This window comes from Homo sapiens, chromosome 19 (assembly GCF_000001405.40).
Source record: "Homo sapiens chromosome 19, GRCh38.p14 Primary Assembly".
Taxonomy (NCBI): Eukaryota; Metazoa; Chordata; class Mammalia; order Primates; family Hominidae; genus Homo; species Homo sapiens.
The window spans coordinates 3,531,896-3,558,057 of NC_000019.10; the positions used below are offsets into that span (position 1 = coordinate 3,531,896).

The following is a 26,162-nucleotide window of genomic DNA, read 5'->3' on the forward strand; positions in this document are numbered from 1 at the left end:
CCACCTGGCCTCCAGGGGCGCTGGCCTGGAATGCTGAGCAGCTGTCGTCCGGGAGCCGCGACCGCATGATCCTGCAGAGGGACATCCGCACCCCGCCACTGCAGTCGGAGCGGCGGCTGCAGGGCCACCGGCAGGAGGTGTGCGGGCTCAAGTGGTCCACAGACCACCAGCTCCTCGCCTCGGGGGGCAACGACAACAAGGTACCCCCGCCCAGAGCCTGGGCTTCCCCTTCACCAGAAGCCGCACCCCTCACACTGGCAGGAACGGAAGAGCCTGGGCTGGGGCGGGCGCGGGCGCGGGGCCCACTCCACAGCCATCAGCAGGGCACCAGGCTTGTCCTTCCTGCTCAGCCAGTCCTGCCCTGTGGCACAGGGTGACGAGTGTGTGCCCCCAGGGGTCCTTGAGGGAGCAGCAGGAGGAGTGTGGGGTGGGGTGCCAGGGCAGGTCGTCACACCTGTGAGGACCGGCCTATGGGACCACAGGGCTGGGACAGCCCCGGCCTCACAGCCCCTGTCCCCCAGCTGCTGGTCTGGAATCACTCGAGCCTGAGCCCCGTGCAGCAGTACACGGAGCACCTGGCGGCCGTGAAGGCCATCGCCTGGTCCCCACATCAGCACGGGCTGCTGGCCTCGGGGGGCGGCACAGCTGACCGCTGTATCCGCTTCTGGAACACGCTGACAGGACAACCACTGCAGTGTATCGACACGGGCTCCCAAGTGTGCAATCTGGCCTGGTCCAAGCACGCCAACGAGCTGGTGAGCACGGGCGGCCCGGCCTCCCACCAGGCCTCAGGATGTGCGTCCTGCTGGCCCCTTACCTGCCACCTGAGAGCAGCCTGTGGGGAGATGGGTCAGAGTCGCTCTGAAGGGAGATGGGCGAGGGAGGCCGAGCGGGGAGGCAGGGAGTTGTGGGGGGCAAGGCCCCTGGGCCTCATCAGGGCCTCACCTGGGGCAAGACTTGGGGCCTCTGGGCCCCCATCGCAGCCACACCTGGCGGCTCTGTGAGGAGCCGGGGAGCTCCTATGGCTGCCTCTGCTTAGAGGGGAGGCCCAGGATGAAGCGGGCTCCACTGAGCACCCTGGCCTGCTCCAGCCACTCCGGGCGTGTCACCAGGACAGTCTCGGGGGTGACTTGCAGGTGGGGCAGAGGGGCTGTGGGCCCCGTTTGGGTCCTTGTTGGGCTCCAGCCTTTGGCGGTGGGTGGAGGGGTCCACCTGTGGCCTCCACACCTCCTAGACAGACTCAGGTGGCAGAGCCACATCCCAGCATCCCCTGCTCCTCCTGGGCTGGCTGGCGGCTCTGAGCTCTCACATGGGCTCAGGCGGGTGCATGTGAGGCAGCAGGCATAGCACCCGGCCTCGTTGCCCCTCACCGACCGCAGCGCCCCCTCCGCCCTCCAGGTGAGCACGCACGGCTACTCACAGAACCAGATCCTTGTCTGGAAGTACCCCTCCCTGACCCAGGTGGCCAAGCTGACCGGGCACTCCTACCGCGTGCTGTACCTGGTGAGTTCACGCCAGGCACTTCAAGGTGCCCCGGGATTCTGGACAAACTGCCATGGCCACCCCAGAGCACCCTGTCCTGTGTTCTTAGGGAGGATGGTGTGCAGATCTAAAACCCCGTGGGACCCAGCAGCAGGGGCCGGCAGGGCATCTGGTGCTGGTTGTGTTGCCAGCGTTGGAATGGGCTCTACCGAACTCCCCAGCCCTGCAGGTGCAGGCCCTGTCCTCCTGGAGGACCTTAGCTTCTTCATTTGTTTATTTTCCCCATAAAGAGGGGTGAAGAGGAAAGCCAAAACCAACTCACAGCTGACCACTCAGATGACCCTGTGAACGTCCTACACAGTAACTGTATGCACGTGGCTGGATGGGGGCCAGGAGGCGTCCTTGGCCCCACGTGCCCTCACTTGCCAAGATTTTGTTTCTTCCCTGAAAAACATGTTCTGTGCTTTCATCCGCGCATCTGACAGTCCCTCATCTGTGCAGAGTTGATGAGCCCCTCTTGCAAGGGGGCGTCCTTTGTGTTTTTGCAAAAATGCTCCAACCTTGGCTAGGTGCGGTGGCTCACGCCTGTAATCCCTGCACTTCAGGAAGCCAGGGTGGGAGGATCGCTTGAGCCCAGGAGTTCAAGACCAGCCTGGGCAACATAGCAAGACCCCATCTCTACAAAACTTTTTTTAAATGAGGTGTGGTGGTGTGCACCTGTAGTCCCAGCTACTCAGGAGGCTGAGATGGGAGGATCACCTGAGCCCAGGAGGTCAAGGCTGCAGTAAGCCAGGATTGCCCCACTGCACACTCCAGCCTGGGTGACAGAGCCAGACCCCGTCTTAAAATTAAAAAAAAAAAAAAAAAAAAGGCTCCAACCTTGGTTTCTGCTTGTGGTGGCCCCAGCCTGCCCCTCCCTCCTGGCTCCAGAGTCTGGGGGGCCCAGCCACCCGACACCTTGCTCCCCTCTCCTTCAGTCCCCCAGCACTGTCCCGAGGCACCTAGAGGCCCAGAGACATGGGGTGCTTCCCTCCTGTCCACAGGCAATGTCCCCTGATGGGGAGGCCATCGTCACTGGTGCTGGAGACGAGACCCTGAGGTTCTGGAACGTCTTTAGCAAAACCCGTTCGACAAAGGTAAAGTGGGTCGGTATCAGCGCCACTCGCCCCCGCCCCAGCCTGTCCCAGGGTCGTCCCTGTCCCCACTGTCCTCGGGCGTACCCTCCTCTGGGTTCCCCCACTTCCGAGCTTCCCTCACCTCAAATTCTGGGTCATGTGTCGGGGCAGTGTGGCAGGCCGAGGCTGAACTGGCACCTCCCAGCCCCTCAGGACCAAGCCCCAAAGCCTTGGGGACCCTCCAGGCAGCTTCCTCCCTGGGCCTGCGGCTCAGCGCATCTGCCATCCCCATGTGTCTGCAGGAGTCTGTGTCTGTGCTCAACCTCTTCACCAGGATCCGGTAAACCTGCCGGGCAGGACCGTGCCACACCAGCTGTCCAGAGTCGGAGGACCCCAGCTCCTCAGCTTGCATGGACTCTGCCTTCCCAGCGCTTGTCCCCCGAGGAAGGCGGCTGGGCGGGCGGGGAGCTGGGCCTGGAGGATCCTGGAGTCTCATTAAATGCCTGATTGTGAACCATGTCCACCAGTATCTGGGGTGGGCACGTGGTCGGGGACCCTCAGCAGCAGGGGCTCTGTCTCCCTTCCCAAAGGGCGAGAACCACATTGGACGGTCCCGGCTCAGACCGTCTGTACTCAGAGCGACGGATGCCCCCTGGGACCCTCACTGCCTCCGTCTGTTCATCACCTGCCCACCGGAGCCGCATGCTCTTCCTGGAACTGCCCACGTCTGCACAGAACAGACCACCAGACGCCAGGGCTGATTGGTGGGGGCCTGAGACCCCGGTTGCCCATTCATGGCTGCACCCCACCATGTCAAACCCAAGACCAGCCCCAAGGCCAGACCAAGGCATGTAGGCCTGGGCAGGTGGCTCGGGGCCACTGGCGGAGCCAGCCTGTGGATCCAAGAGACAGTCCCCACCTGGGCTTCACGGCATCCTTGCAGCCACCTCTGCTGTCACTGCTCGAAGCAGCAGTCTCTCTGGAAGCATCTGTGTCATGGCCATCGCCCGGCGGTCAGTGGGCTTCAGATGGGCCTGTGCATCCTGGCCAAGCGTCACCCTCACACTGGAGGAGGATGTCTGCTCTGGACTTATCACCCCAGGAGAACTGAACCCGGACCTGCTCACTGCCCTGGCTGGAGAGGAGCACAACAGATGCCACGTCTTCGTGCATTCGCCAACACGTGCCCTCACAGGGCCAGCGTCCTCCTTCCCTGCGCAAGACTTGCGTCCCCCATGCCTGCTGGGTGGCTGGGTCCTGTGGAGGCCAGCAGCGGTGTGGCCCCCGCCCCCAGGCTGCCTGTGTCTTCACCTGTCCTGTCCACCAGCGCCAACAGCCGTGGGGAAGCCAAGGAGACCCAAGGGGTCCAGGAGGTGGGCGCCCTCCATCCTTCGAGAAGCTTCCCAGGCTCCTCTGCTTCTCTGTCTCATGCTCCCAGGCTGCACAGCAGGCAGGGAGGGAGGCAAGGCAGGGGAGTGGGGCCTGAGCTGAGCACTGCCCCCTCACCCCCCCACCACCCCTTCCCATTTCATCGGTGGGGACGTGGAGAGGGTGGGGCGGGCTGGGGTTGGAGGGTCCCACCCACCACCCTGCTGTGCTTGGGAACCCCCACTCCCCACTCCCCACATCCCAACATCCTGGTGTCTGTCCCCAGTGGGGTTGGCGTGCATGTGTACATATGTATTTGTGACTTTTCTTTGGATTTGTTTTGTGTTTTTGTTGACTAGTCCTGGAAATGTTTGAGGCTAGACGGGGAGGGGCCAGGACCCACCCACTGCTCCTGGGGGATGAGGTCCTGGTTTTAAAGCCCCGTCATTTCAAGCGGGTCGATCTTCCACATTCACTGGAGAGACTCTCCCCACCTCTGTCTGGGTGGGGCGCGGACCCCTCACTGTGCGCCTGTGCAGGGGGTGCTGGTGCACGTGGCAGTGTGGATTTCCAGTGGTCACGGTCTTACTGTTTCAAGGTTTTTAAATAAGAAAACCAACCCTGCCTTCGCCCATGCCCGCCCCTGCCCGCAGTTGCCAAAGAGCCGCCTTGTCGCTGTGGGCGTCAGGGCTTGGCTGGCTCAGTGCACAACCCACAGTGGCCTTCAGAGGCTCCTCCTGGGACTGGGAACCGCCGCAGGGCCAGGCGGACGGCGTGAGGTTTGTGTTGGGGCTGGTTCTGCCCATGCTAGGGGGTGGGGGAGCTCCCAGGACAGACCAGCCTTGTTTCTCATGTAATGCAGTGACGCTGTCATTAAACACGTGGATTCATGTGTGGCCGGGACTGGCTGGCTCTAGGTCCCCGGCTCGGGTGGGGTCACACGGTCCTGCCCTAGAGTCCCCATCTGGCCCTGGAGCTGCAGAAGCAGCTTCTGAGGGGCTTCCCAGGCCTGCATTTCACAGATGGGGAGCTCAGCCCTCGAAGGCCGCAGAGACGCCTCCCAGGCCCGTCTGCCAGGGCGCCGGCCACAATCCTGCAGGGCCAAGGACTGGACTCCAGGCAAGTCCCTGCGCTCCAGCTGGACGGCCCTGTTCCAGGGAGGAGGTGCTCGGTTGACACCATCAGGGAGGGAGGGTGGGCACTGCTGGGCTGAGTTCACCCCCAGGGCTGGCCAGATGGGGCCAGGAGGGACAGAGCAAGGGGGGTGAAGGCCGTGGTGGGAGGGTCCCATGATGATGGGCCAGGGCTCGTGTAGAAATGGGGGAATTGGTTCCCCATGGCCCAGGACAGCTGAGAGGAGGTGGAGGGGCCCCAGGGGAGTGTACGTCAGGCTTTGCGGGGCACGGGGGCCACTCAGCAGCGCTGGGGCAGGTGCCTCTGCTGTCAGCTCCACCCGACAGGCAGACGAAGGCCAGTGGGGCCATCGCTTCCTGGGGCGACCCTGGCAGTGGTTGGGAGACGCCCAGATGGAGGGGGAGGCTGACCAAGGGCCCCGCAGGGCGGGCTGCAACTTTTCTGTTGATCCTGGAATGTAGCTGGTGCAGTGAGAGGGAAAGAGAATTGAAAAACTCAGGCTGCCATAGGTTCTGCGATGAGAGGTGCAGGAGGCAGGAGCCTGGCCCAGGGGGTGCTGGTGCCTCCCCGGGGTCTGGGCGGAGAGAACAGGAGGAATGGCTGGGAAGTGGCTGAGGGAGCCAGGAGGCCGGGGGGCCGGGGGCTGCAGGGGAGGCTGTGGGGGTCCTGGCAGCCAGGAGGCCCCAGGTGGTTTTGAGGCTCGCTCTTGCGCGGTGCCTGAGAAGAGGGTGAAGGAGCTGGGGCAGGCCCCATCCTGGGCATTGGAGATGATGAAACCGAGCAGACCTGGCCCATGTGGAGCTGGCATGGGGGACACAGCCCAGAGACAGAGAAGCTTATGAGGAAGTGAGGAGGTGGCGTCACAAGGGTGGGGAGGGGGCCTTGGGGAAGGGCGGCCTTGGATCAGAGGCTCACCACAAGCCTGGCATTTCAGCCAGGGCTGGAGAAGGCAGGGACGCCTGGGTGAGAGGCAAAGGGCACAGCCATGCAAAGGCCCTGGGGCAGGACGGCACCTGGTATGCGGGAGGAACAGAGTGAGGAGAGGAGGGCAGGGCGTGCAGGGCCTTGTGGGCCTCAGGGAGGACTTGGGCACCTACGCCGAGGGAGTGGAGCTCCTGGGTGCGTGTCCAGATGGGAAAGGCAGGGTCGTATCTGTGGGGACCTGACAAGGGCAGGGGAAGCGGAGACCAGGGTGCAGGCTCCGCCCCCACCCAAGGCCGGGCCCAGCCAGAGGAGGGGCAGGGCAGGGCAGGAGGTTTCTGGATGTTTGTTGGGTTTGGTTTGGTTTTGTTTTGTTTTGTTTATTGTGGTAAAATACAAAATCTACCGTCTTACAGTGAGGTGGCGTTCAGTACCTTCACCACGCCGTGCAGCCATCCCATCTGATTCCAGAACATTCTCATCACCCAGAAGGCAGCCCTGTCCCCATTATGTCACCTAGTCACCCCCAGGTCCCCCTCCCCAGTCCCGGCACCCACGAATCCTCTCCCTGATTCTGTGGATTGGTCTGTCCTGGACATTTCATAGAAGTGGGATCACAGCGTACCCTTCTGTGTCTGGTGTCTCTCACTGAGCGTGACATCCTCAAGGTGCATCCGCACTGTGGCCTGGGTCAGAGCTTCGCACCTCCTTGTGGCTGAGTCTCGTTCCAGCACGGTGGCGGCGCCGTGCTGATCCCCTCACCTTCACTGGGTGTTCGGTGTTCTCCGCCTCGGGCTGTCACAAATCGTGCTGCTGTGAGCCACTGCGTGCAGGTCTCATCCTGGGTGTATTTTACAAACGGACTGGATGTGAGTGGGTGAGGAGTGAGGAGCTGGGGTGACAGGTGCCTGCGACCCCGGCCAGGCACTGCCTCCTGCGATCGAAGGGGCAGGGGGAGACAGAAGCCCCTCAAGGGGGTGTGGAGATGGAGAAGCCAGACCCCAGGTGGGGGGTGCATAGAGCTGGGGGCTCAGGGCCACGGACCCCACCTGGCAGTGGCCCTGGCCTTGCCCACCCACACTGTGTCACCCCCAGTTGTTAAATACTCAGAACGACTCTCCAGCCCTTCCCTCGAGGCCACCTCACCCCGCAGCTGGGAGGAGGGAGTGGTCAGCGTGGTTGCCGAGACACTGGGTGGCCTTTATGCTGTCAACGGTGGCCTCAGAGGCCTTCTGGCAGGAGCCCGGGGGATCCAGGCAGACATGCAAACCCTCAGGCAAGAGGCTGCACGGCCCTGTATCCCCTCGGGGACCCTCGAGGCCAGCTTCCCAGCACCGCTGTACAGGTGAGCCCCTCCCTACAGGTGAGCCCCTCCCAGCCCCTCCCTCCCTCCCTCCCTGGGTGTCAGGTTACATGGTGTTTGGTTTGGGGTCTTGCACGTGTCACTCGTTATTCCTAAAAGGCTCATGTGTGTGACGTCCCCTCCAGCTCTTCCTGTTCCCCTCCGGCCAGTGGCCGCTCACTGTGGGGGCTACAGACCTGGAGACAGGCCAAGAACAAATGTGTCTGCGGCCGTCTCCAAGGACTGCAAACGCACTGGGAGCTTCGGCCACAGAAATGTTCGCCCTCTGAAATCCAGGCCTGTGCGGGGCTGGGCCCTTCTGTGGCTGAGAGAGTCTGTCCCACACCTCTTGCAGCCCGTGGTGGCTCTGGGCAACCCCAGGCACTCCTTGGCCCCCGGTCTCTGCTTCTGTCTTCACCCGGCCTTCCTGTCTGCGTCCAAGTTTCCCTCTCCTTATAAGGGTGCCAGGCACTGGATTCGGGGCCATCCTAACACGGGGTGACCTCATCTTAGCTGCATCTGCTAAAACCATTTCCAAACAAGGCCATGTCCTGAGGCTCTGGGCAGATGTGATTTTGGGGGTATACCAGTCACCCCGATACAGTGTCTATTATCAATTGTTTAAACAATTATGGAATACTATGCAGCCATGAAAAAGAAGAGTGAAAGCCCTTTGCTCCATTTCCAAGGAAAGAAATTAAACCAAGATGGTGGCTGGGCATGGTGGCCCACACCTGTAATCCCAGCACTTTGGAAGGCTAAGACAGGAGGATCACTTGAGCCCAGGAGTTCAAGACCAGCCTGAGCAACATAGTGAGACCCATCTCTTTTCTTTTTTTTTTTTTTTTTTTTTTTTGAGACAGTCTCATACTGTTGCCCAGGCTAGGGTGCAGTGGCGCAATCTTGGCTCACTGCAACTTCTGCCTCCCAGGTTCTAGGATTCTTCCATCTCAAGCCTTCTGAGTAGCTAGGACTACAGGTTTGTGCCACATGCCCAGCTAATTTTTGTTTTTTTTTTTGGACGGAGTCTCACTCTTGTCGCAAGACTGGAACGCAATGGTGCAATCTTGGCTCACTGCAACCTCCAACTCCCTGGTTCGAGCGATTCTCCTGCCTCAGCCTCCCAAGTAGCTGGGATTACAGGCATGCGCTACCATGCCCAGCTAATTTTTGTATTTTTAGTAGAGACGGGGTTTCACCATGTTGGCCAGGATGGTCTCGATCTCCTGACCTCATGATCTGCCCTCCTTGGCCTCCCAAAGTGCTGGGATTACAGGCGTGAGGCACCGCGCCTAGCTGTGAGACCCCATCTCTATAAAAAATTTAAAAATCAGCCAGGCAGCCAGGCGCAGTGGCTCACGCCTGTAATTCCAGCACTTTCGGAGGCCGAGGCAGGCGGATCACCTGAAGTCAGGAGTTCGAGACCAGCCTGACCAACATGGTGAAACCCCGTCTCTACTAAAAATACAAAATTAGCCGGGAATGGTGGCTCATGCCTGTAATCCCAGCTACTTGGGAGGCTGAGGCAGGAGAATCACTTGAACCTCGGAGGCAGAGGTTGCAGTGAGCCGAGATCGTGCCACTGGACTTCAGCCCAGAGCGAAACTCCATCTCAAAAAAAAAAAAAAAAAATCCAGGCGCAGTGGCTCACGCCTGTAATCCCCACATTTTGGGAGGCCGAGGCGGGTGGATCACGAGGTCAGGAGATCAAGACCAACCTGGCCAAGGTAGTGAAACCCCATCTGTACTAAAAGTACAAAAATTAGCTGGTTGTGGTGGCGGGCGCCTGCAATCCCAGCTACTCGGGAGGCTGAGGCAGGAGAATCGCTTGAACCTGGGAGGCAGAGGTTGCAGTGAGCCGAGATCAGGCCACTGCACTCCAGCCTGGGTGACAGAGCAAGACTCTGTCTCAAAAAAAAAAAAAAAAAATCAACCAGGCATGGCGGCACGTGCCTGTAATGCCAGCTACTTGGGAGGCTGAGGTAGGAGGATCGCTTGAGCCTAGGAGGTCAAGGCTGCAGTGAGCCGAAATCGTGCCACTGCATTCCAGCCTAGGTGACAAAGCAAGACTGTCTCAAAAAAAAAAAGAGGGTCTCGCTCGGTTGCCCAGGCTGGAGTGCAGTGGAATGATCTCAGCTCACTGCAACCTCTGCCTCCTGGGTTCTAGCGATTCTCCTGCCTCAGCCTCCTGAGTAGCTGGGATTACAGGCACCCACCACCACGCCCGGCTAATTTTTGTATTTTTAGTAGAGACAGTGTTTCACCATGTTGGCCAGGCTGGTCTCAAACTCCTGACCTCATGATCCGCCTGCCTCGGCCTCCCACAGTGCTGGGATTACAGGCATGAGCCACCGCACCCAGTGCAAGACCCTATTTCTATTTTTTAAAAAAATGGAGATGCAGTGAATGGGCTCCCGCAAGTGTGTAATAACGGGGGTGAGTGCATGTACCACCTGCTCCTGGGAGGAAACACCAGAAAGTAGTGAGTGGCAGGTGGGTACGGGGCCGACAGCAGGGGTGAGGGGCTCATTTCTCATTGAATATTATTCTGTGCTGTTTTGTTTGTGTTGAGACAGAGTCTCGCTCTCTCACCCAGGCTGGAGTGCAGTGACGCAATCTCGGCTCACTGCAACCTCCGCCTCCCGGGTTCAAGCTAATTCTCCTGCCTCAGCTTCCCGAGTAGCTGGGACCACAGGTGTCCATCACCACACCTGACTAATTTTTGTATTTTTAGTAGAGACGGGGTTTCACCATGTTGGTCAGGCTGGTCTCGAACTCCTGACCTCAGGTGATCTACCCACCTTGGCCTCCCAAAGTGCTGGGATTACAGGCATGAGCCACTGCGCCCAGACAATTTTGTGCTGTTTTAATTGTGTTTTAAAAGCTACATGTGTCTTGCAATTCATTTCAAAAGGGTGAGGTTCTCCTGATCTTGAAATTGCCTTTCTAGTGGAAAAGCCGAGTCTATGTGGGGTCCCTCAAACAGGCTCTGTAACTGACCAGGCTACTCCCATGTTCTGTGGGCACCTGGGAGTCTAGTCAGGATTTAAGCAGAGTTCCTGCCATGAGAGCTGGAACCGGGCTTTCCGTGCAGGGCAGATGAGATTGTTTTGAACCCTGCTAGACTGTCTTGGGGCCAGCAACCTTGTTTTCTGGGATGACTTCCTTGGGACATATTCCCAAGAGCAAGGTCAAAGCATAAAACATCTTTGAGTCTCTTGTCTTTTTGTTTTTGAGACAGAGTCTCACTCTGTTGCCCAGGCTGGAGTGCAAGGGCACGATCTCAGCTTACTGCAAACTCCACTTCCTGGGTTCAAGCGATTCTCCTGCCTCAGCCTCCTGAGTAGCTGGGATTACAGGTGCCCCCCGCCCCCACACCATGCCTGGCTTAATTTTCGTATTTTTAGTAGAGATGGGGTTTTACCATGCTGGCCAGGCTGGTCTCGAACTCCTGACCTCAAGTGATCCACCTGCCTCAGCCTCCCAAAGTGCTGGGTTTACAAGCGTGAGCCACACACCTGGCCTAGTGGGTCCCCCAGTCTTCCCTGGGCCATGGCTTAGTGCCAGCCCCAGACCACTTCTTCCTGGTGCACCTCCAGGCCAGGGGGGCTTCCCAGAGGAAGGGACTTGTGGGTCTTGGAGGCTGGACAAGGACTGTAGGAATCCAGGAGTAGCCAGGGCCCTTGTCCTCTCCCCTCCCTCTTCTCCAGGCAAGAAAAGCTGAGAACAGAAAGGTTTAGTGCTGACTTGGGTGCTTGGGGTGCGATGTGTGGGGAGAGGGGGAGTCAGCCTCTCTCCTCAAGCACCCACTCTGGGGTGAGGGGTACAGGGCTGAAGGACAGACTCCAAGTGGCGAGGGAGGGAGACCCCACGCCGTGGGCCAGGCCTCTACATCATCCACCCTGGCAGACATCGCAAAGGGGTCAAAGCACTCGCTGTAGACATGGGCTCAGTCTCTGCCCCCTGCCCACCCTCAGCGATGACTACCTGTCCCTGGAGGGTTCCCGCTGGCCACCAGCCATCAGGCAGGCCACACGCTGGAAGTACACGCCCATGGGACGGGACGCAGCCGGCCAGCTGTGGTACACAGGCCTGACCAACTCGGACGCCTGGGAAGCCTGGTACAACCTGCCACGGGCCCCGGCCAGCCCCTTCCGCGAGGCCTACAACCGCTGGCACAGCTGCTACCAACACCGTGAGTGCAGCATGCCATCGGGTGAGTGCCCCCCCCCCCGCCCTGGGCAGCGGGCCTGCCAGAGGGGGACAGGAATGACCGCCAGCCCCCGCCCCACCGCAGCCTACACCCAGCACCTGCGGGAGACCGCCTGGCATGACCCCATCGTCCCTGCCCAGTACCAGGCCCCCAGCACCCGGTGGGGGAGCGCGCTGTGGAAAGACAGGCCAATCCGGGGCAAGGAATACGGTGAGGCTAGGTGCAGGGTGGGTCCTTGGGAGGCCAGGGGGACAAGGCCACCTAGGCCAGGGTGAAACTGCCCGGGGCGATCCAGGAGCCCCTTGCTGGCCAACGGCGAGGAGGTGGGGGCACATGGTGACCCGAGTCCCACCTACAGTGCTCAACAGGAACCGGTACGGGGTGGAGCCACTGTGGAGGGCATCAGACTACGTGCCCTCCCTGTCGGCACCCCAGCGCCCGCCCGGCACCACCCAGAACTACCGGGAGTGGGTCCTGGAACCATACTGCCCCTCCACCTGCCAGCGGTCCCCGCCTTCCCTCACACCCACTCCCCGATAAAGGCATGCTACCAGGATGCACCCACTGTCTCTGCACCCAGATGAGGGGGCACTAACCTAGTCCCAGGGGACCAGAGGCTCGGGACAGAGGCAGACACTGGGCTCGCTGGCCGCCCACAACCAGGGCAGGGCTGAGATGCCCAGGCTACCCCTGCCCAGAGCCCCCCCGCAGGCAGACAGGAGCCAGGCTGCCGTCATCTCTTTATTTGCTGCCAGCAGAGTCCACCAAGCCTGCCGGGCAGCCCTGCTGCCCACCACGGTGGGGTCCAGGCCCAGCCCACCACCCCGTGGCTGTCTCCTCCAGGCTCCAGCCGTCCTGAGGGGGCCCTGGCAGTGTCTGGAGACCCCCAGGCTGGAGGTGAGGGGTGAACTGGACTGAGCTCAGGGTTAGGGTTCCCCCAGACCCTTCTGGGATTCCTACTTCCTGTTCCCTGCCGAGAGGGGCACCCCAAATCCTCCAGAGGGCTGGGATGGATTAGAGTTGAGAATGGGACACCCTCAAAACCCAGGGGGTCCTTGCAAGTCCCTGGCGGGCATCCCTGCTGCCCTCACCCGACCCCACCCCCGGGAGCTGGGTGAGGATGGAGGGTGGGGGTCCAGAGAAGAGTGAGGGGCAGTGGGGGCTTTTCCCCAAGGCCCTGGGGGGCATCCTCGTGCGTCCCCACAGTTCCCTTGCACAGGTGCAGGAGGCTGTCAGGAGTCAGGGCCGGGCATCACGGTCCCCTGCAAGGGAGGGGTGGAAATGGCATTAGAGAGTGTGGGTCAGTGTCTGGGGAGGGAGGGGTGGGCCAGGACTCACAGCGTCGCAGGCGGGTCGGCCACAGCAGGAGGCTACAGAGACACAGGGCAGCGGCCACGCCCACGCCGCCCGTCACAGCCACCATCGCCCAGTGGTAAAAGCTCACGCAGGCCCTGCAGCAGAGCTCTGAGCTGTGGGAGGAGGCGGGGGATGAGTAGGCACCGCGGGTACCACCCCCCCGCCACCCAAGCTGAACCTGTGCCTCCCCTCACCCCCGACAGCGGCTCCGTCCTGTCCAATCCAGGAGCTGGGGGCCCTGCCACTCCCTCCCTCCTGTCCCACACCCAACAGCTCGGCCAGTCCTGTGGGCCCTGCTTCCAGCATCCATGCCAAATCCACCATGTCTCCCCTTCCCTGTCTCCTCATGGTCCAGCCCCAGCATGGCCCGCCTGCACCCGCCCCGGTCCCAGGCTGCAACTTCTCCCCCAGCAGCTGTCCTCCCGGCAGCAACCACCAGAGGGCGTCTGTGAGCGCCTGGGTCAGGGCCTGTCCCTCTTCTGCCCACAGCTCTCTGTGAGTCCCACTGTCCTCAGGGTCAAATCCCCTAAGTCCTCCCCATGGCCCACCAGGCCCTGCACGACCTGCCCTCCCCTCCTCCCTCTACTCCAGCCACACAGGCCTCCTCCCTGTTCTTCCAACACAACATGCCAGGTGTGGTCCTGCCCCAGGGCTTTGGCACTACTTGTCCCTCCCCATTGGCCTGGAATGCTCTGACATCCTGCAGGTGTCAGGGCCACGTCACCTCCTCCAAGAAGCCCTCCCTGGCTTCCTGCCCTGGCTGTCCAGGTTTCTCTGAGCGTTCACCTTTACACACCACCCACGCCGGTACCAACCACATGTTCACCTCTGTGACTATTAACACGGCTGGCTCTGCCCCAGGCCCAGACCGGCTGTGGTTTCCAGGCCCTGGGCCTCTACAGGCGTGAATGCTGTGATGCTGTGGTCTAGAACCATCCATGTCTGAACCCTGAGTTCTGTGGGTCTGGGTTACACGGACTCGGGGCTCCCTTCCAGCTGGGCCCACCCCCGATATATTTCTGTACGGTGTCTTCAGCACTGCACACATGGACCCAACGTTTGTTGAGTGAATAAACGAAGTGCTCAGTGGAAGAAAGGAAAGGTCTCCCCTGCCTATGACTCCCATTGGGGCAGGTGTCTTTGGTCCACAGCTGGATGCCCAGACCCAGAACACTGCTGGACACACAGCAGGCGCTTAATCCCCTCTTACTGAACAAAAGAATGAATGAACGAACAGCGGCACTCACGGGCAAGGGTGCAGGCTCTGGATGGCCATGACTGCCAGCCCATTGGCCACCTTATCCAAGAAGCTCATGGAGCCGTACACGAACGCTCCGCTGTTCTGTGGAGACACAGGCGAGGTGGTCAGCGTGCACCCCGAGATCTAGGACCCGGCCTCCCCCACCCCAGCCTGGCTACCAGCCCTACCGTGTGGGGACCGATGAGGTCGGCCGTCATGGCCAGCGAGGTGACGAGGATGGTGGCACAGCCAGCACCCAGCAGCACAGCCGCTGCGTACACGGCCACACCCAGTCCCTCCGCCAGCGCCACCCAGGCGGCAAAGGCCAGGATCACCAGGAGGCCTGAGAAGTAGGTCATCTGCAGGGACAGCCCCGGGGTCAGGCCCACACCACTGGGTGCCCCCAAGCCTGGCGCTTCAATCCGCCACCCCTACCCCCAACCCCAGCAAACAAGGCATGAGCTGGATGGTCCCTAAGGAGCCCTGGCTCTGGCCCTGGACACAACACCGAGGCTCTGCAGATCCTCCATGCCAGAGCTGTGCTCTCTGTCCACGCCGTAGCGGCTGGAGACGTGTGGCTATTCTGCCTGAGCGCAGGTCAGTTACAACGAAAGCAAACGACGGACTCGGCTCAGTCCCCACGGCCACATTTCAAGCCCTCAGTAGCTGCACAGGGTGGACAGAAAGCGCCAGAGCTCCATGGCTGCGAGTGTATAAACTCGAGACACAGAGAAGCCAGGATCCTAGAATTCCTTGTTCCCAGATCTGGGGCTTTTTTTTTCTGGAGACAAGAGTCTCGCTGTGTCGCCCAGGCTGGAGTGCAGTGGTGTGATCTCATCTCACTGCAAGCTCCGCCTCCCGGGTTCACGCCATTCTCCTGCCTCAGCCTCCCGAATAGCTGGGACTACAGGCACCCGCCACCAACGCCCGGCTAATTTTGTTTTTGTATCTTTAGTAGAGACGGGGTTTCACCGTGTTAGCCAGGATGGTCTCGATCTCCTGACCTCGTGATCCGCCCGCCTCGGCCTCCCAAAGTGCTGGGATTACAGGCGTGAGCCACCGTGCCCGGCCTAGATCTGGGGCTTCTACAAGGCGGGAACTCGGAGGCCTGAGAGCATCCGAGGATGGAACCCGGAGCGGGTGGGATCTCGGCTGCAGGGCACCCCATCCTCCGCCCCAGCTGTCCCCGGTCCCCGCCCACTCACGTTCCTCCCAATGCACTTGTTGATGGGCTTCATGAGGAAGGAGGACAAGAAGCCGCTGAGGTACATCACCAGGGGAATGGTCGCGATGAACTTCTGCGGAGGCAGAGCCAGGCATGCCGTGTCAGTCATGGCTCGCCAGGCTGGGGCCGTCCCATCCCAGCGTCCCCGCCCCAATCTGCTCACCTTGGGCAGGTGGAGCGAGTAGGTGAGGTACATGGCCATGTAGGTCTGGGACAGGTTCACGATGAGCCTGGTGGTCATGTACAGTATGCCCACCTGTGGGCAGACCGACAGAGGGACTGGCAGGGGTCAGGAGGGCCTTCTCCACTCCCACCAGCAGGGGGCACCGGGGCCAGGGTGGGCGCCCTGCAGCTGGCATTTGATCCATTGGTAGTGACTGCCCAGTGGGGTGGGCCAGGAAGAGGAGAGCAGCACTTGATGAGTGACGTTTGCCCTGGGTGTGGGCTGCACCAGGGGCCACGTGTGCTCTGCGTCTGGACGCAGCTGCCCCACAGAGCAAAGGCCCTGTGGGTGGGAGAGAAGGCCCACGCCAGCCCCACCGTCCCCAGCACGCACCTGGTAGAAAGCCGGCTCCCGGAGCCAGTGCTTCCAGAGCAGCAGGGGCTGGGCCGTGGCAGGGGCCAACAGGGGGGTGTGCTCGCCTGGCTCCTCCGCATGCGGCCGGCGCCTCTCCCGGGTGCCCAGGTGGAATAGCAGTGAGAACACGGCGCCGACACCCACCACCAGCAGGGACAGGTTCTGGGGATGCAGCAGAAGCAGTCAGTGGTGGCGGGCCCAGCCCCCGCCCCTGGCTCGAGGACTTCAGGCGACCCACCCGGACTCCAGCTCACCCGGAACACGGGCACGTCCTGGCCCCCCAGCTGGTCGCTGATGCTGATGTCTTGGGTGGGCTCCACCCGCGACGAGCCCTGCAGGTGCAGCAGGAGCCAGGCGGCGCCGTAGACGGTGATGTTGGCCACCACGGTGAACGCATACCTGGCGGGCAGGCGGGCAGGGACTCAACAAGACGCCAGGAACCTGGGTCACTTCCTCCCCACGTGGCTACGCCGTCAGAGAGGCCTGGGGAACCCCTGACTGACAGGTGATTCCAACCACTGCCACACTGGGTGGCCTCCAGGAAGCCCGTGCTGGCCTCAGTTTCCCCAGCCCGCACATTACCTAACGCGGGAAAGCTGTGACCTGCAGCTCCACCCTTCGTGCCCAGGACCAGGGTACAGTGACTCGGCCAAGCGGAGTCCAGGCTACAACCCAAAAGTCTGAGAACCCAGAGACTCAGAAGCCAGAATTCGAGAATTCTTCTTCCCCAGATGCTGGGCGGCTAAAGGGCGAGGGCTCCCTGGTCTAGAACCATCCAGGCCAGCCCCTGCCCACAGCCCGGCCAGGCACAGAGTCCCCCGGGGGGCCTCAGAATCCTACCATGAATCAGTCTCTCTTTCTGAAAGCGGGAACCATGCCACCTCCAGAGGCCACGTGAGCACAGCAGGAGGTCAGCTGGCAAAGCAATGGCACGTAGGAAGTGCCTGGGGTCTGGCCCCGGTCAGATGGGGCCCTCAGGGGCCCTGGGCATTGGGCAACCTGTGTCGTTAGCGCCTGCACCTCTGTCACATGGCCATAATGGGGAACTCAAATCTGGGGGTGGGGAGGAGCTGGTGATACACAGGCAGATGTGGAGACAGCGGACTCCCCCGACACGAAGGCGCTGTGAGGACCCTGGCTTTGGGCACCAGCTGGGGCCGAGTCCTCCTCTGAAATACGCGGGAGAGAAGAGTTCCCACCTCCCAGCTCACGGGGAGGATTAAAGAAGCTGAGATTCATGTTAAGGGCCTATAACTATGCCAGGCACACGGCAGGTGCTCAATGCATCATCCTCGTAACCAGAAGAACCTCTTCCAGCGCCTCTAGCAAGTTAGTGGATAAGCCGGGCACCCGCTGTACCCAGGTGTAATAGAAAGAATTCTAAGGCAGCCCCAGAGAGGCCTGCCCATCCCATCCCCTCCCCGTGGCAGCAGCAGCTGTAAGTCCACCATGGATGTTACTCCCAGGATGTAGCCAGGGCTAAGTGGCATTCTATAGCAGAGGGAAAGGGACTTCGCAGTGTGTTATAACCAAGGACCTTGGTCAGCTCGGGTGTGTCCACAGGGAGATTACTGGCCAGGCGCGGTGGCTCACGCCTGTAATCTCAGCACTTTGGGAGGCTGAGGCAGGCAGATCACTGAGGTCAGGAGTTCGAGACCAGCCTGGCCAAGACGGTGAAATCCCATCTCTACTAAAAATACAAAAATTAGCCGGGGGTGGTGGCGGGTGCCTGTAGTCCCAGCTACTCGGGAGGCTGAGGCAGGAGAACCGCTTGAACCCAGGAGGCAGAGGTTGCAGTGAGCCGAGATGGCGCCACTGCACTCCAGCCTGGGTGACAGAGTGAGACTCTTGTCTCAAAAAAAAAAAAAAAAAAAGCCAGGCACAGTGGCTCACGCCTGTAATCCCAGCACTTTGGGAGGCCAAGGCGGGCAGATCACCTGAGGTCAGGCGTTCAAGACCAGCCTGGCCAACATGGTACATGGTGAAACCCCGTGTCTACTAAAAATACAAAAAAAAAATTAGCCGAGATCGTGCCACTGCACTCCAGCCTGGCTGACAGAGCGAGATCCTGTCAAGGGAGACTACGGTGTGTGAGCCTGGCCAAGTCAGGCAATCCTTTGGGAGAGAGGGCTTAGGGCTTCCTGGGATCAGAGATTCTCCCTGCTGGCCTCAGAAGCAGCAGCCACCGTGATCTCCACAGGTGCAAGACTACAACTTCTGCCACCAACCACGTGAGCATAGAGGAGGGACCGCCCCCAGCCTTCCATAAGACGCTAGCCCTGGGCAACCCCTTGAATGCAGGCTCAAGACAGACCCTGAAGCCCAACAGCCCTCTCCCCCTAGCTCAGCCATGCTGGACTCCTGACCCCCAGAAACTGTGAGAGGAGAAATGTGTGATGGCTGAGTGTGGTGGCTCATGCCTGTAATCGCAGCACTTTGGGAGGCCAAGGCAGGAGGATCGCTTGAGCCCAAGAGTTCCAGACCAGCCTGGGCAATATAGTGAGACCCTGTCTCTACAAAAACTTTTTGTTTTTTTTTTTTGAGACGGAATCTCGCTCTGTCGCCCAGGCTGGAGTGCAGTGGCGCTATCTTGGCTCACTGCAAGCTCCACCTCCCGGGTTCACACCATTCTCCTGCCTCAGCCTCCCGAGTAGCTGGGACTACAGGCGCCCACCACCGCGCCCGGCTAATTTTTTGTATTTTTAGTAGAGACGAGGTTTCACGTGTTAGCGAGGATGGTCTCGATCTCCTGACCTCGTGATCTGCCCACCTCGGCCTCCCAAAGTGCTGGGATTACAGGTGTGAGCCATGCCCAGCCTACAAAAACTTTAAAAAACAGCTGGGTGTAGTGACATACTCCTGTAGTCCCAGCTACTCAGGAGGCTGAGGCAAGAGTATCACTTGAGCCCAGGAGGTTGAGGCTGCAGTCAGCCGAGATCACCCCACTGCACTCCAGCCTGGGCAACAGAGTGAGACCCCCTTTCAAAAAAATAAACATGAAAGACTGCCTGGTCTCGAGCTGCCGAGTCTGTGGCCGCTCATTATGCAGTGCCACTGACTGATACACCGAGCCGGGGCCCACCCTGCCCGTGGGGGAGGGTGCCCAGGCTCCCACCTGAGTGCCGTGAGCTCCACCTTCTCATGGTCGTTGGTGACGAGCTCCGGGATGAGGCTGAGGTGGGAGATCTGTGTGGAGGCCCAGCCAAACTGGAAGATCACGATGAACGGGCCGTAGTAGAGGAGGGCAGCCCACTCGGGCGTGGCCGCCCCACAGCCCAGGCAGGGGCTGAAGATGAAGGGGAAGGACAGCAGGACGCAGACGGTGCCTGTGGAAGGCAGAGTGGTCAGTCGCGGGGCTGTCCCGCACCAGCCAGGGCTCCCAGGGTGAGGACATGGAGGGAGGAGAGAGGGAAACTGAGGCACAGATGGAGACGCCCCCCGCATGCACACAGTCACGCAGGAGCGAGGGTCTGCAGTCGGGGTCCCCCAGGCTTATGGCCCCTGGTGACAAAAGGGGAATCTGACACCAGGTGCCTGGGCTCAGCCTGCAAGTCAGAAGAAGCCAGGCGCAGGGGGTCCCCCGGAAACCTGCCCCCCACAGGTGCCCCGGTTACAGCCGCAGCCTCCCCCAGCTCCTCCCCCTCGGCCACTATCAAGCCTCCCATAGGGCCTCGGGGAGCGGGAGGCCCAGGTGGGCCTGGGCTGGACCCCTCCTTAAGCTCCGCCATCCTCATCAGCTCCTAAGGTGACCACTCCCTGGAATGCTGGGGCGTCCTGGCCTCCAGGGACAGTCAGGAAATAGCACCCGCCCCCACCTGAGATCTGCGGTGGCAAGGCCTGGCTCTTCACATCCTCAGAAGAAAACCCCTAAGATACCCTGGAACAAATGTAAGATCCTCCCCGCAGCCCACGGAGCCCTTTGCGACCTGCCCTGTCCCCTCCGTGCCCTGCCCTGCCCTTCCCTCTCTCCCCCTTCTCTCTCTGCTCCAGCCATGCAGGTCTCCTCACTGCAGGACCTCTTCAACATGCCAGGCGGTCCTGCCCCCGGGCCTTTGCATGGGCGTGCCTCTGCCTAGAGCTCTCTCTCACATCTTAGCAAGACTGGCTCCTTTTCACCTCTGGGCTCAACGGGAATGTCACCTCCTCGAACACCTCTCTCCTGGCCCCTGCTGCCTCTACCTCACCCTTCGGAGCACCCGGGAATTCTCTGTCTGCCGGCTTCCTGCCGGCTTTCCTCTGCAGACAGCAGCCTCCAAGGGGCCTGGGGAGACCCAGCATGGAACTCGGGCATTTCAATATCTATTTTTTTTTTTTTTTTAGACAGAGTCTTGCTCTGTCGCCCAGGCTGGAGTGCAGTGGCGAGATCTCGGCTCGCTGCAACCTCCGCCCCCTGGATTCAAGCCATTCTCCTGCCTCAGCCTCCCGAGTAGCTGGGACTACAGGCCCATGCCACCATACCCAGCTAATTTTTGTATTTTTAGTAGAGACAGGGTTTCACCACGTTGGCCAGGCTGGTCTCCAATGCCTGACCTCAGGTGATCCACCCGCCTCGGCCTCTCAAAGTGCTGGGATTACAGGCGTGAGCCACCGCGCCCCGCCTTTTTTTTTTTTTTTTTTTTTTTTTGAGACAGAGTCTCGCTCTGTTGCCCAGGCTGGAGTGCAGTGGTGCGATCTCAGCTCATTGCAGCCTCTGCCTCCCTAGCTCAAGCCATTCTCCCACCTCAGCCTCCCGTGTAGCTGGGATTACAGGTACCTGCCGCCACATCCCACCACATCCAGCTAATGTTTGTATTTTTGGTAGGGATGGGGTTTCACCACGTTGGCCAGGCTGAAGTCGAACTCCTAGCCTCAAGTGATCCTCCTGCCTCGGCCTCCCAAAGTGCTCGGATTACAGACTTGAGCCACCATACCGGCTGTTACTTCAGTATCTTCTGAGTGAGTAACAATAGTGGCCCTGACACAGCCTGTAAGCGTGGGTGTCATTATCCTCATTTTCCAGATGGGAAAATTGAGGCCCCTAGAGTGAGTCGGAGCCAGGCTCCTTCCCTGCAGCCCTGCACTCCTCTCCTCCCAGCCTGGGGCACCTGGAAGGGCCCCTGTACCAAGCCTGGTGGCTGGACCTCCTTCCTCCCTCCGGAGGTGACCTCATCCCCAGACCCTGGGCCCGCCCCCAGAGAACTGGAATTGGGAAGTGAAACCAAAACCAGCCTCTCCTGCTGGTTTCTCTGGAACTAGGGCCTGGGAGGGTTTGCGCAGATTCCTGGGGTCCTTGGGGAGGTCATCCGGGGGCAGAGCATGAACTGTGGACTCCAGTGAGAAGGTCCCTTCCTGGCTGGACTCCCTGTTCCTGCTGGCCAGTCTGGGTTAACCATTGTTGGGGCCAGGCTGCCTGGCCTGGGGACCTCGGGCAAGTGACTGTGCCTCTCTAGGCCTCAGTTTTCAGAAAACAGGGATAGTGGCCAGGAGTGGTGGATCATGTAATCAATCCCAGCACTTTGGGAGGCTGAGGTGGGAGGACTGCTTGAACCCAGGAGGTCGAGGCTGCAGTGAGTCGTGATCGTGCCACTGCGCTCCAGCCTGGGCGACAGAGCGAGACCCTGTCAAGAAAAAAAAAAAAAGGCCGGGCGCGGTGGCTCACGCCTGTAATCCCAGCACTTTGGGAGACCGAGGCGGGTGGATCATGAGGTCAGGAGATCGAGACCATCCTGGCTAACATGATGAAACCCTGTCTCTACTAAAAATGCAAAAAAAATTAGCCGGGCGTGGCGGCGGGCGCCTGTAGTCCCAGCTACTCGAGAGGCTGAGGCAGGAGAATGGTGTGAATCCGGGAGGCAGAGCTTGCAGTGAGACTCCATCTCTCAAAAAAAAAAAAAAAAAAAAAAAAACAATGAAAAGAAATGAAACAGAGAAAGAAAGGAAAAGAAAAGAAGAGGCTGGGTGCGGTGGCTCATGCTTGTAATCCCAGCACTTTGGGAGGCTGCAGCGGATGGATCACCTGAGGTCAGGAGTTCGAGACCAGCCTGACCAACATGGTGAAACCCTGTCTCTACTAAAAATACAAAAATTAGCCGGGCATGGTGGCACGAGCCTGTAGTCCCAGCTACTCGGGAGGCTGAGGCAGGAGAATCACTTAAACCCAGGAGGTTGAGGTTGCAGTGAGCTGAGATCACGCCACTGCCTTCCAGCCCGGGTGACAAAGCAAGACTCCGTCTCAAAAATAAAAAATAAAAATAAATAAAAAATTAAAAAAAGAAGAGAAAGAAGGGTAGTGAAAGTTCCTGCCCATGGCCAGGCGTGGTTGCTCACACCTGTAATCCCAGCACTGTGGGGGGCTGAGACAGGCAGATCACTTGAGGTCAGCGGTTCAAGCCCAGCCTGGACAATATGGTGAAACCTTGCCTCTACTAAAAATTTAAAAATTAGCCGGCTTTGGTGGCACGTGCCTGTAATCCCAGCTACTCAGGAGGCTGACGCACGAGAATCCTTTGAACTCAGGAGGCGAAGGTTGCAGTGAGCCGAGATCCCGCTACTGCACTCCAGCCTGAGCGACAGAGTGAGACTCTGTCTCAACAACAACAAAACAAAAAAAAAAAAAAAAGAAAGAAAGTTCCTGCCTCACAGGCTGCTGTGAGGATAGAGTTCATGTGTGGCACCAGCAAAAGCTCCGTCTATTCTGAACCACTTCCTGCTTCCGCAGCTTCAAAGTGAGGACTGTTCCTACCTTTTCCACAGCTGTTTCTGCTACTTGGAATGCGCCCCTCCACACACTGCTACCCATCCGTCAAAACCTCAAAGTTAATGTCCTTCCTTCTGAAGCCCATTTGTGCCATCTGCCCACTCACAGGAGTGTTTGTGTCTGATTCTGAGGGTCGTCTCGGGATTGTGGGGGAGCTCCCCAGGACTTGTTAAAGGGCAAAGTGAGTCCTTAGCCACCAGCCCCAGACTTGGGGGTGAAATACAGAAGTGGGTGCCATTGCCAGGGTAACCTTCACTCAAGTCACCTGCTCAGGCATCAAGAGCGGCTGCCTGGGCTTCTGCTCCCAACAGACCCTCCTGACCCTCCAGGCCCACCCAGGTGGCCCCCACCTCTCAGCTCCCAGGGCAGGTGCCCTCCCCGAGGCGGGGAAGAGGGGTGACGGTGGACGCCTTGGTGTCCGGTTGGACCACCTGGTTCCCTGAGGTCTGCTTTGGAAAAACATAAAGCCTTCGGTTGCTGTTTCTGTTTGTTTTCTTGTTTTGGTTTGTTGTTGTTGTTTTTTGTTTTTTTAGACAGACTCTCGCTGTGTCTGGAGTGCAGTGGCGCGATCTTGGCTGACTACAGCCTCTGCCTCCCGGGTTCAAACGATTCTCCCACCTCAGCCTCCCAAGTAGCTGGGATTACAGGCGTGCGCCACCACGCTCGGCTAATTTTTGTACTTTAGTAGAGACGGGGTTTTGCCATGTTGGCCAGGTTGGTCTCAAACTCCTGACCTCAGGTGAGGAGGCCTCCCAAAGTGCTGGGATGACAGGGGTGAGCCACCGTGCCCGGCCCGCCCAGAAATTATCTTACGCGACTGTCAAAGAGCTTATCCAACTATTATGATCAAAGAGGCATTTGGGGCCCTGGGCTCCGCTCAGCAACCAATCCCAACGTAACCACAAAGGAAGGGACAGCCGGTCCCCTCCCTGTCTGCCGCCGCCTCAGGTACCCCAGGAATAGCCTGGACATAGGAAACATGAAACTCCAGTCCCCAAGCTGTGCCTGCTGCGGAGCCTGCCACCCTCAGACCACTGGAGATCCACTGCCTCTTGCAAAAAATGTCATCACCCAGATCCTGGGTCCAACCACCCATCCCAGTCATTGTTCCCAAGGGTGAGGAGGCACCCGCCTGCCCCTCCTGCCACCTGGAATTCCAAGAACTGAGCAGGATTCCTGGCCCTGCCTGCTGAAATGCCACATGTGTCCCAAATGCCAGGACGCAGCCGGCACTTCTGTGAGGGCAAGAAGAGCAGGGAAGGAGGCCGGCTAATCTTCAGGCCCAGGGTCCGGGAGGGGAGAGGAGGGCCGCTGGGAGGCAGCCCTGCAGTCTTATCGATGGGCACTGGGGCAGGGTGACCCAGCCCATGACGCCAGCCTCCTGCCCTCCCAACAGCCCTCTCTAATCAGGGCAGCTCCCCCAGACCTAGGGGGTCCCTGACCCTGGCCAGACAGATAGAGGCAATGCAAGAACAGGGCAGAGACCCCTGACCCTCCAGTCCCACCCAGGCGGCTCCCAACTCTCAACTCCCGGAGCAGCACCCTCAAACTGCTGACGCACCAGGTTGCCCTGGCAGAACACACAGAGAGAGAGGAGGCTCTAGGGGGCCTGACTGTCCCTCAGCCATAGCTGTCCCAGTTGGTCACCCTAATAGACGAGCTCAGGCTAGACAGACTGACAAAGGAGGCGCTGAGCAGTCACCACCAACCCTCCAGAGGGTTCAGGGTGGCCCGGGGGCTCAGACAAACAAAGGCATTCCCACTAGAAAGTCATGTAGTCAGATGGTGAGGGCCCCGCAGGTCAGACAGCAGCTCTGAGGCAGACAGGGGAGGCTGGACCAAGGGACAGACAGAGGGGATACGGGGCAGTTAAACAGACAGATGGGGGAGGCTCATGGCTCAGGCAGATAGAGAAGCCCTGCACAGTTGGACAGATGGGGGAGGCACTGCACAGTCAGACAGATGGGGGAGGCACAGCACAGTCAGACGGGGGAGGCTCAGGCCATGGGGCAGAAAGACGGGGGATGCTGGATGGTGGGACAGGCAGGGGAGGCTCAGGAGTGACACCACAGAGGGGCCACTGGGTAGTCAGACAGACGGGGGAGGCTCAGGCCACGGAACAGCCAGAGGGGTGAAAACTCAGCTCATGGGGCAGACAAACAGGGGAGACTTAGGTCCCAGGCAGGCAGAGAGAGGGGGCTGGGTGGTGGGACTGATGGAGGAAGCTCAGGCCATGGGCACAGACAGACAGACAGGGGAGGTTCGGGCCAGGGGACAGACAGAGGGGTGAAAACTCAGCTCATAGGGCAGACAGATACATAGGGGAGGTTAAGGCCGTGGACAGACAGTGCAGGGAAGCTCGGGCCACGGGACAGACAGACCGAGGGGAGACTCCGATCCTGAGGCAGGCAGACGGCGGGTGGTGAGTCAGAGGGAGGAGGCGCCCGGGTCGCGGAGTCTCGGAGGGGCTGCCCGACAGGTGGCGGGGCCGGGACGCTTACCGACCAGGTGCCAGGCCTTGCGCGGGCCGTAGCGGGCGCAGCAGCTGGCGGCGCGGTCGGCCTCGTAGCCCACGAGCGGTGTGCACAGCCCGTCGGCCACCTGGCCCAGCAGCAGCAGCAGCCCCGCGCCGCGGGAGCTGTAGGCGCGCACCGAGTGCAGGTAGAGCAGCAGGTAGGTGAACCACATGGACGCGCACAGGTCGTTGAGGAAGTGGCCCACGGCGTAGCTCAGCCGCGCCACCAGGGACAGCGGCCGCGGGGACGGCGCCGCTCCGGCCGCTGGGGGTCCCGGGCCCATCGCGGCGCCGGGCCCGCGCCCCCCACCCCCGGGCTCCGCGGAGGGTACCCTGGCCAGGCCTTCTTGGGTGCCGTGGGGGCAGGCGCCGGGGACCCCCACCACGCGCCGGGCACCCCGCGTCCCGCTCTCTTACGGCCGCGCCCTCACCCACGTCCGCCGCGTCCGCCCCACGCTCGACTCTGCAGCCGCCGGGCCCCAGAGCCGGGCGACTGCGCCGGGCGGGGCAGGGCGGGGAGGTTCCGGTGCCTGAGCCAATCGGAGCCGCGCCCCGGGGAACCGCAGCCAATCGCCAAGGAGAGAGGAGAGGGGCGTGGCCGCAGGGCTCGTTCCGCCTCTACGACGGGCGCCCACGCGGTCCTAGCGCCCGCCGGGTATGAGGGCGAACCCCGAGCGCGCCGCAGGAGTGGCCGGCACCCCCATAGACTGGGGAAGGAAATGGACCAGAGGGCACCGCCGGCTCCCACCCAGACCCGGCCTCCAGGCCCGCACCACCCCAGTCCACCCGGAGCTGGACAGCCCACTGCGGGCCGGGGTGGAGCGAGTGGGACGGGCTCTGGATTTGGGGTTGGGGGGAGGTCTGAGCCCGAGCTGGCCTCGGGGTCCGCTGACTCCCCGGCCTAGAGAGACGCGATCGGGCGCGGAGAGGACGCAACA

The 26,162-nt window shown here is 60.6% G+C and overlaps 3 protein-coding genes across 18 annotated transcripts in view, besides 10 other annotated features; 2 read left to right on the top strand and 1 right to left on the bottom strand.

Annotated features, from left to right (window-relative positions):
• The window catches only part of FZR1 (fizzy and cell division cycle 20 related 1), a 32,024-nt gene extending 25,585 nt beyond the window's left edge, over window positions 1-6,439 (top strand). For 3 of the 8 annotated variants that reach the window (XM_005259573.6, XM_017026863.3, XM_047438908.1), the window contains exons 10-14: window positions 16-200; window positions 522-755; window positions 1,399-1,503; window positions 2,526-2,627; window positions 2,900-6,439. In XM_005259573.6, the coding sequence (XP_005259630.1) occupies window positions 16-200; window positions 522-755; window positions 1,399-1,503; window positions 2,526-2,627; window positions 2,900-2,941 (668 nt within the window). In that variant the 3' untranslated portion in view covers window positions 2,942-6,439. The remainder of the gene's footprint in view (window positions 1-15; window positions 201-521; window positions 756-1,398; window positions 1,504-2,525; window positions 2,628-2,899) is intronic. The other 5 variants (NM_016263.4, XM_047438909.1, XR_001753699.1 and 2 more) reach the window with 4 other exon arrangements.
• On the bottom strand, window positions 6,380-25,691 carry MFSD12 (major facilitator superfamily domain containing 12). 7 transcript variants are annotated; one of them, XM_011527684.3, is made up of 10 exons: window positions 25,211-25,691; window positions 19,089-19,299; window positions 16,228-16,372; window positions 15,953-16,135; window positions 15,560-15,652; window positions 15,377-15,469; window positions 14,360-14,530; window positions 14,179-14,273; window positions 12,914-13,044; window positions 6,380-6,861 (listed from the first exon to the last, which is right to left on the bottom strand). In XM_011527684.3, coding segments are annotated over exons 1-10 (1,422 nt in total). In that variant the 5' UTR covers window positions 25,509-25,691; the 3' UTR covers window positions 6,380-6,859. The 7 variants fall into 7 exon arrangements, with proteins under 7 accessions (XP_011525986.1, XP_047294127.1, XP_047294126.1 ...); XM_047438170.1 differs by lacking the exon at window positions 6,380-6,861 and adding an exon at window positions 10,800-11,082; NM_001287529.2 differs by lacking the exon at window positions 6,380-6,861 and adding an exon at window positions 12,304-12,837 and having other exon boundaries at window positions 25,238-25,691.
• Window positions 7,264-8,116: an enhancer, noted in NCBI's record as "H3K4me1 hESC enhancer chr19:3539157-3540009 (GRCh37/hg19 assembly coordinates)". NCBI's record gives its function as "activates a minimal SCP1, AML or CMV promoter by ChIP-STARR-seq in naive H9 embryonic stem cells {active_cell/tissue: H9 hESC(naive)}" and the evidence as "EXISTENCE:reporter gene assay evidence [ECO:0000049][PMID:30033119]".
• TEKTIP1 (tektin bundle interacting protein 1) lies at window positions 7,279-12,135 on the top strand. Of its 3 annotated transcripts, none has more exons than NM_001135580.2 (4): window positions 7,279-7,365; window positions 11,340-11,578; window positions 11,660-11,785; window positions 11,934-12,135. In NM_001135580.2, exons 1-4 carry the CDS (start codon window positions 7,283-7,285, stop codon window positions 12,113-12,115), a joined length of 630 nt encoding a protein of 209 aa, NP_001129052.1. In that variant the 5' UTR covers window positions 7,279-7,282; the 3' UTR covers window positions 12,116-12,135. The 3 variants fall into 3 exon arrangements, with proteins under 3 accessions (NP_001129052.1, XP_011525898.1, XP_047293948.1); XM_011527596.4 differs by lacking the exon at window positions 7,279-7,365 and adding an exon at window positions 8,143-8,175; XM_047437992.1 differs by lacking the exon at window positions 7,279-7,365 and having other exon boundaries at window positions 11,081-11,578.
• Window positions 8,574-8,718: an enhancer, noted in NCBI's record as "145 bp 19:3540539 sequence used in MPRA reporter constructs". NCBI's record gives its function as "activates a minimal TATA-containing promoter with rs12984831 allelic activity by MPRAs in UACC903 melanoma cells {active_cell/tissue: UACC903}" and the evidence as "EXISTENCE:reporter gene assay evidence [ECO:0000049][PMID:36423637]".
• Window position 8,646: a transcriptional cis regulatory region, noted in NCBI's record as "rs12984831 or 19:3540539 MPRA-significant variant associated with a GWAS melanoma risk locus at 19p13.3". NCBI's record gives its function as "allelic transcriptional activity by MPRAs in UACC903 melanoma cells {active_cell/tissue: UACC903}" and the evidence as "EXISTENCE:reporter gene assay evidence [ECO:0000049][PMID:36423637]".
• Window positions 11,018-11,162: an enhancer, noted in NCBI's record as "145 bp 19:3542983 sequence used in MPRA reporter constructs". NCBI's record gives its function as "activates a minimal TATA-containing promoter with rs12608592 allelic activity by MPRAs in C283T melanocytes {active_cell/tissue: C283T}" and the evidence as "EXISTENCE:reporter gene assay evidence [ECO:0000049][PMID:36423637]".
• Window position 11,090: a transcriptional cis regulatory region, noted in NCBI's record as "rs12608592 or 19:3542983 MPRA-significant variant associated with a GWAS melanoma risk locus at 19p13.3". NCBI's record gives its function as "allelic transcriptional activity by MPRAs in C283T melanocytes {active_cell/tissue: C283T}" and the evidence as "EXISTENCE:reporter gene assay evidence [ECO:0000049][PMID:36423637]".
• Window positions 18,961-19,105: an enhancer, noted in NCBI's record as "145 bp 19:3550926 sequence used in MPRA reporter constructs". NCBI's record gives its function as "activates a minimal TATA-containing promoter with rs75555084 allelic activity by MPRAs in C283T melanocytes {active_cell/tissue: C283T}" and the evidence as "EXISTENCE:reporter gene assay evidence [ECO:0000049][PMID:36423637]".
• Window position 19,033: a transcriptional cis regulatory region, noted in NCBI's record as "rs75555084 or 19:3550926 MPRA-significant variant associated with a GWAS melanoma risk locus at 19p13.3". NCBI's record gives its function as "allelic transcriptional activity by MPRAs in C283T melanocytes {active_cell/tissue: C283T}" and the evidence as "EXISTENCE:reporter gene assay evidence [ECO:0000049][PMID:36423637]".
• Window positions 25,117-25,286: a silencer, noted in NCBI's record as "silent region_9848". NCBI's record gives its function as "represses an Ori minimal core promoter by ATAC-STARR-seq in GM12878 lymphoblastoid cells {active_cell/tissue: GM12878}" and the evidence as "EXISTENCE:reporter gene assay evidence [ECO:0000049][PMID:35858748]".
• Window positions 25,467-25,536: a silencer, noted in NCBI's record as "silent region_9849". NCBI's record gives its function as "represses an Ori minimal core promoter by ATAC-STARR-seq in GM12878 lymphoblastoid cells {active_cell/tissue: GM12878}" and the evidence as "EXISTENCE:reporter gene assay evidence [ECO:0000049][PMID:35858748]".
• Window positions 25,577-26,126: a silencer, noted in NCBI's record as "silent region_9850". NCBI's record gives its function as "represses an Ori minimal core promoter by ATAC-STARR-seq in GM12878 lymphoblastoid cells {active_cell/tissue: GM12878}" and the evidence as "EXISTENCE:reporter gene assay evidence [ECO:0000049][PMID:35858748]".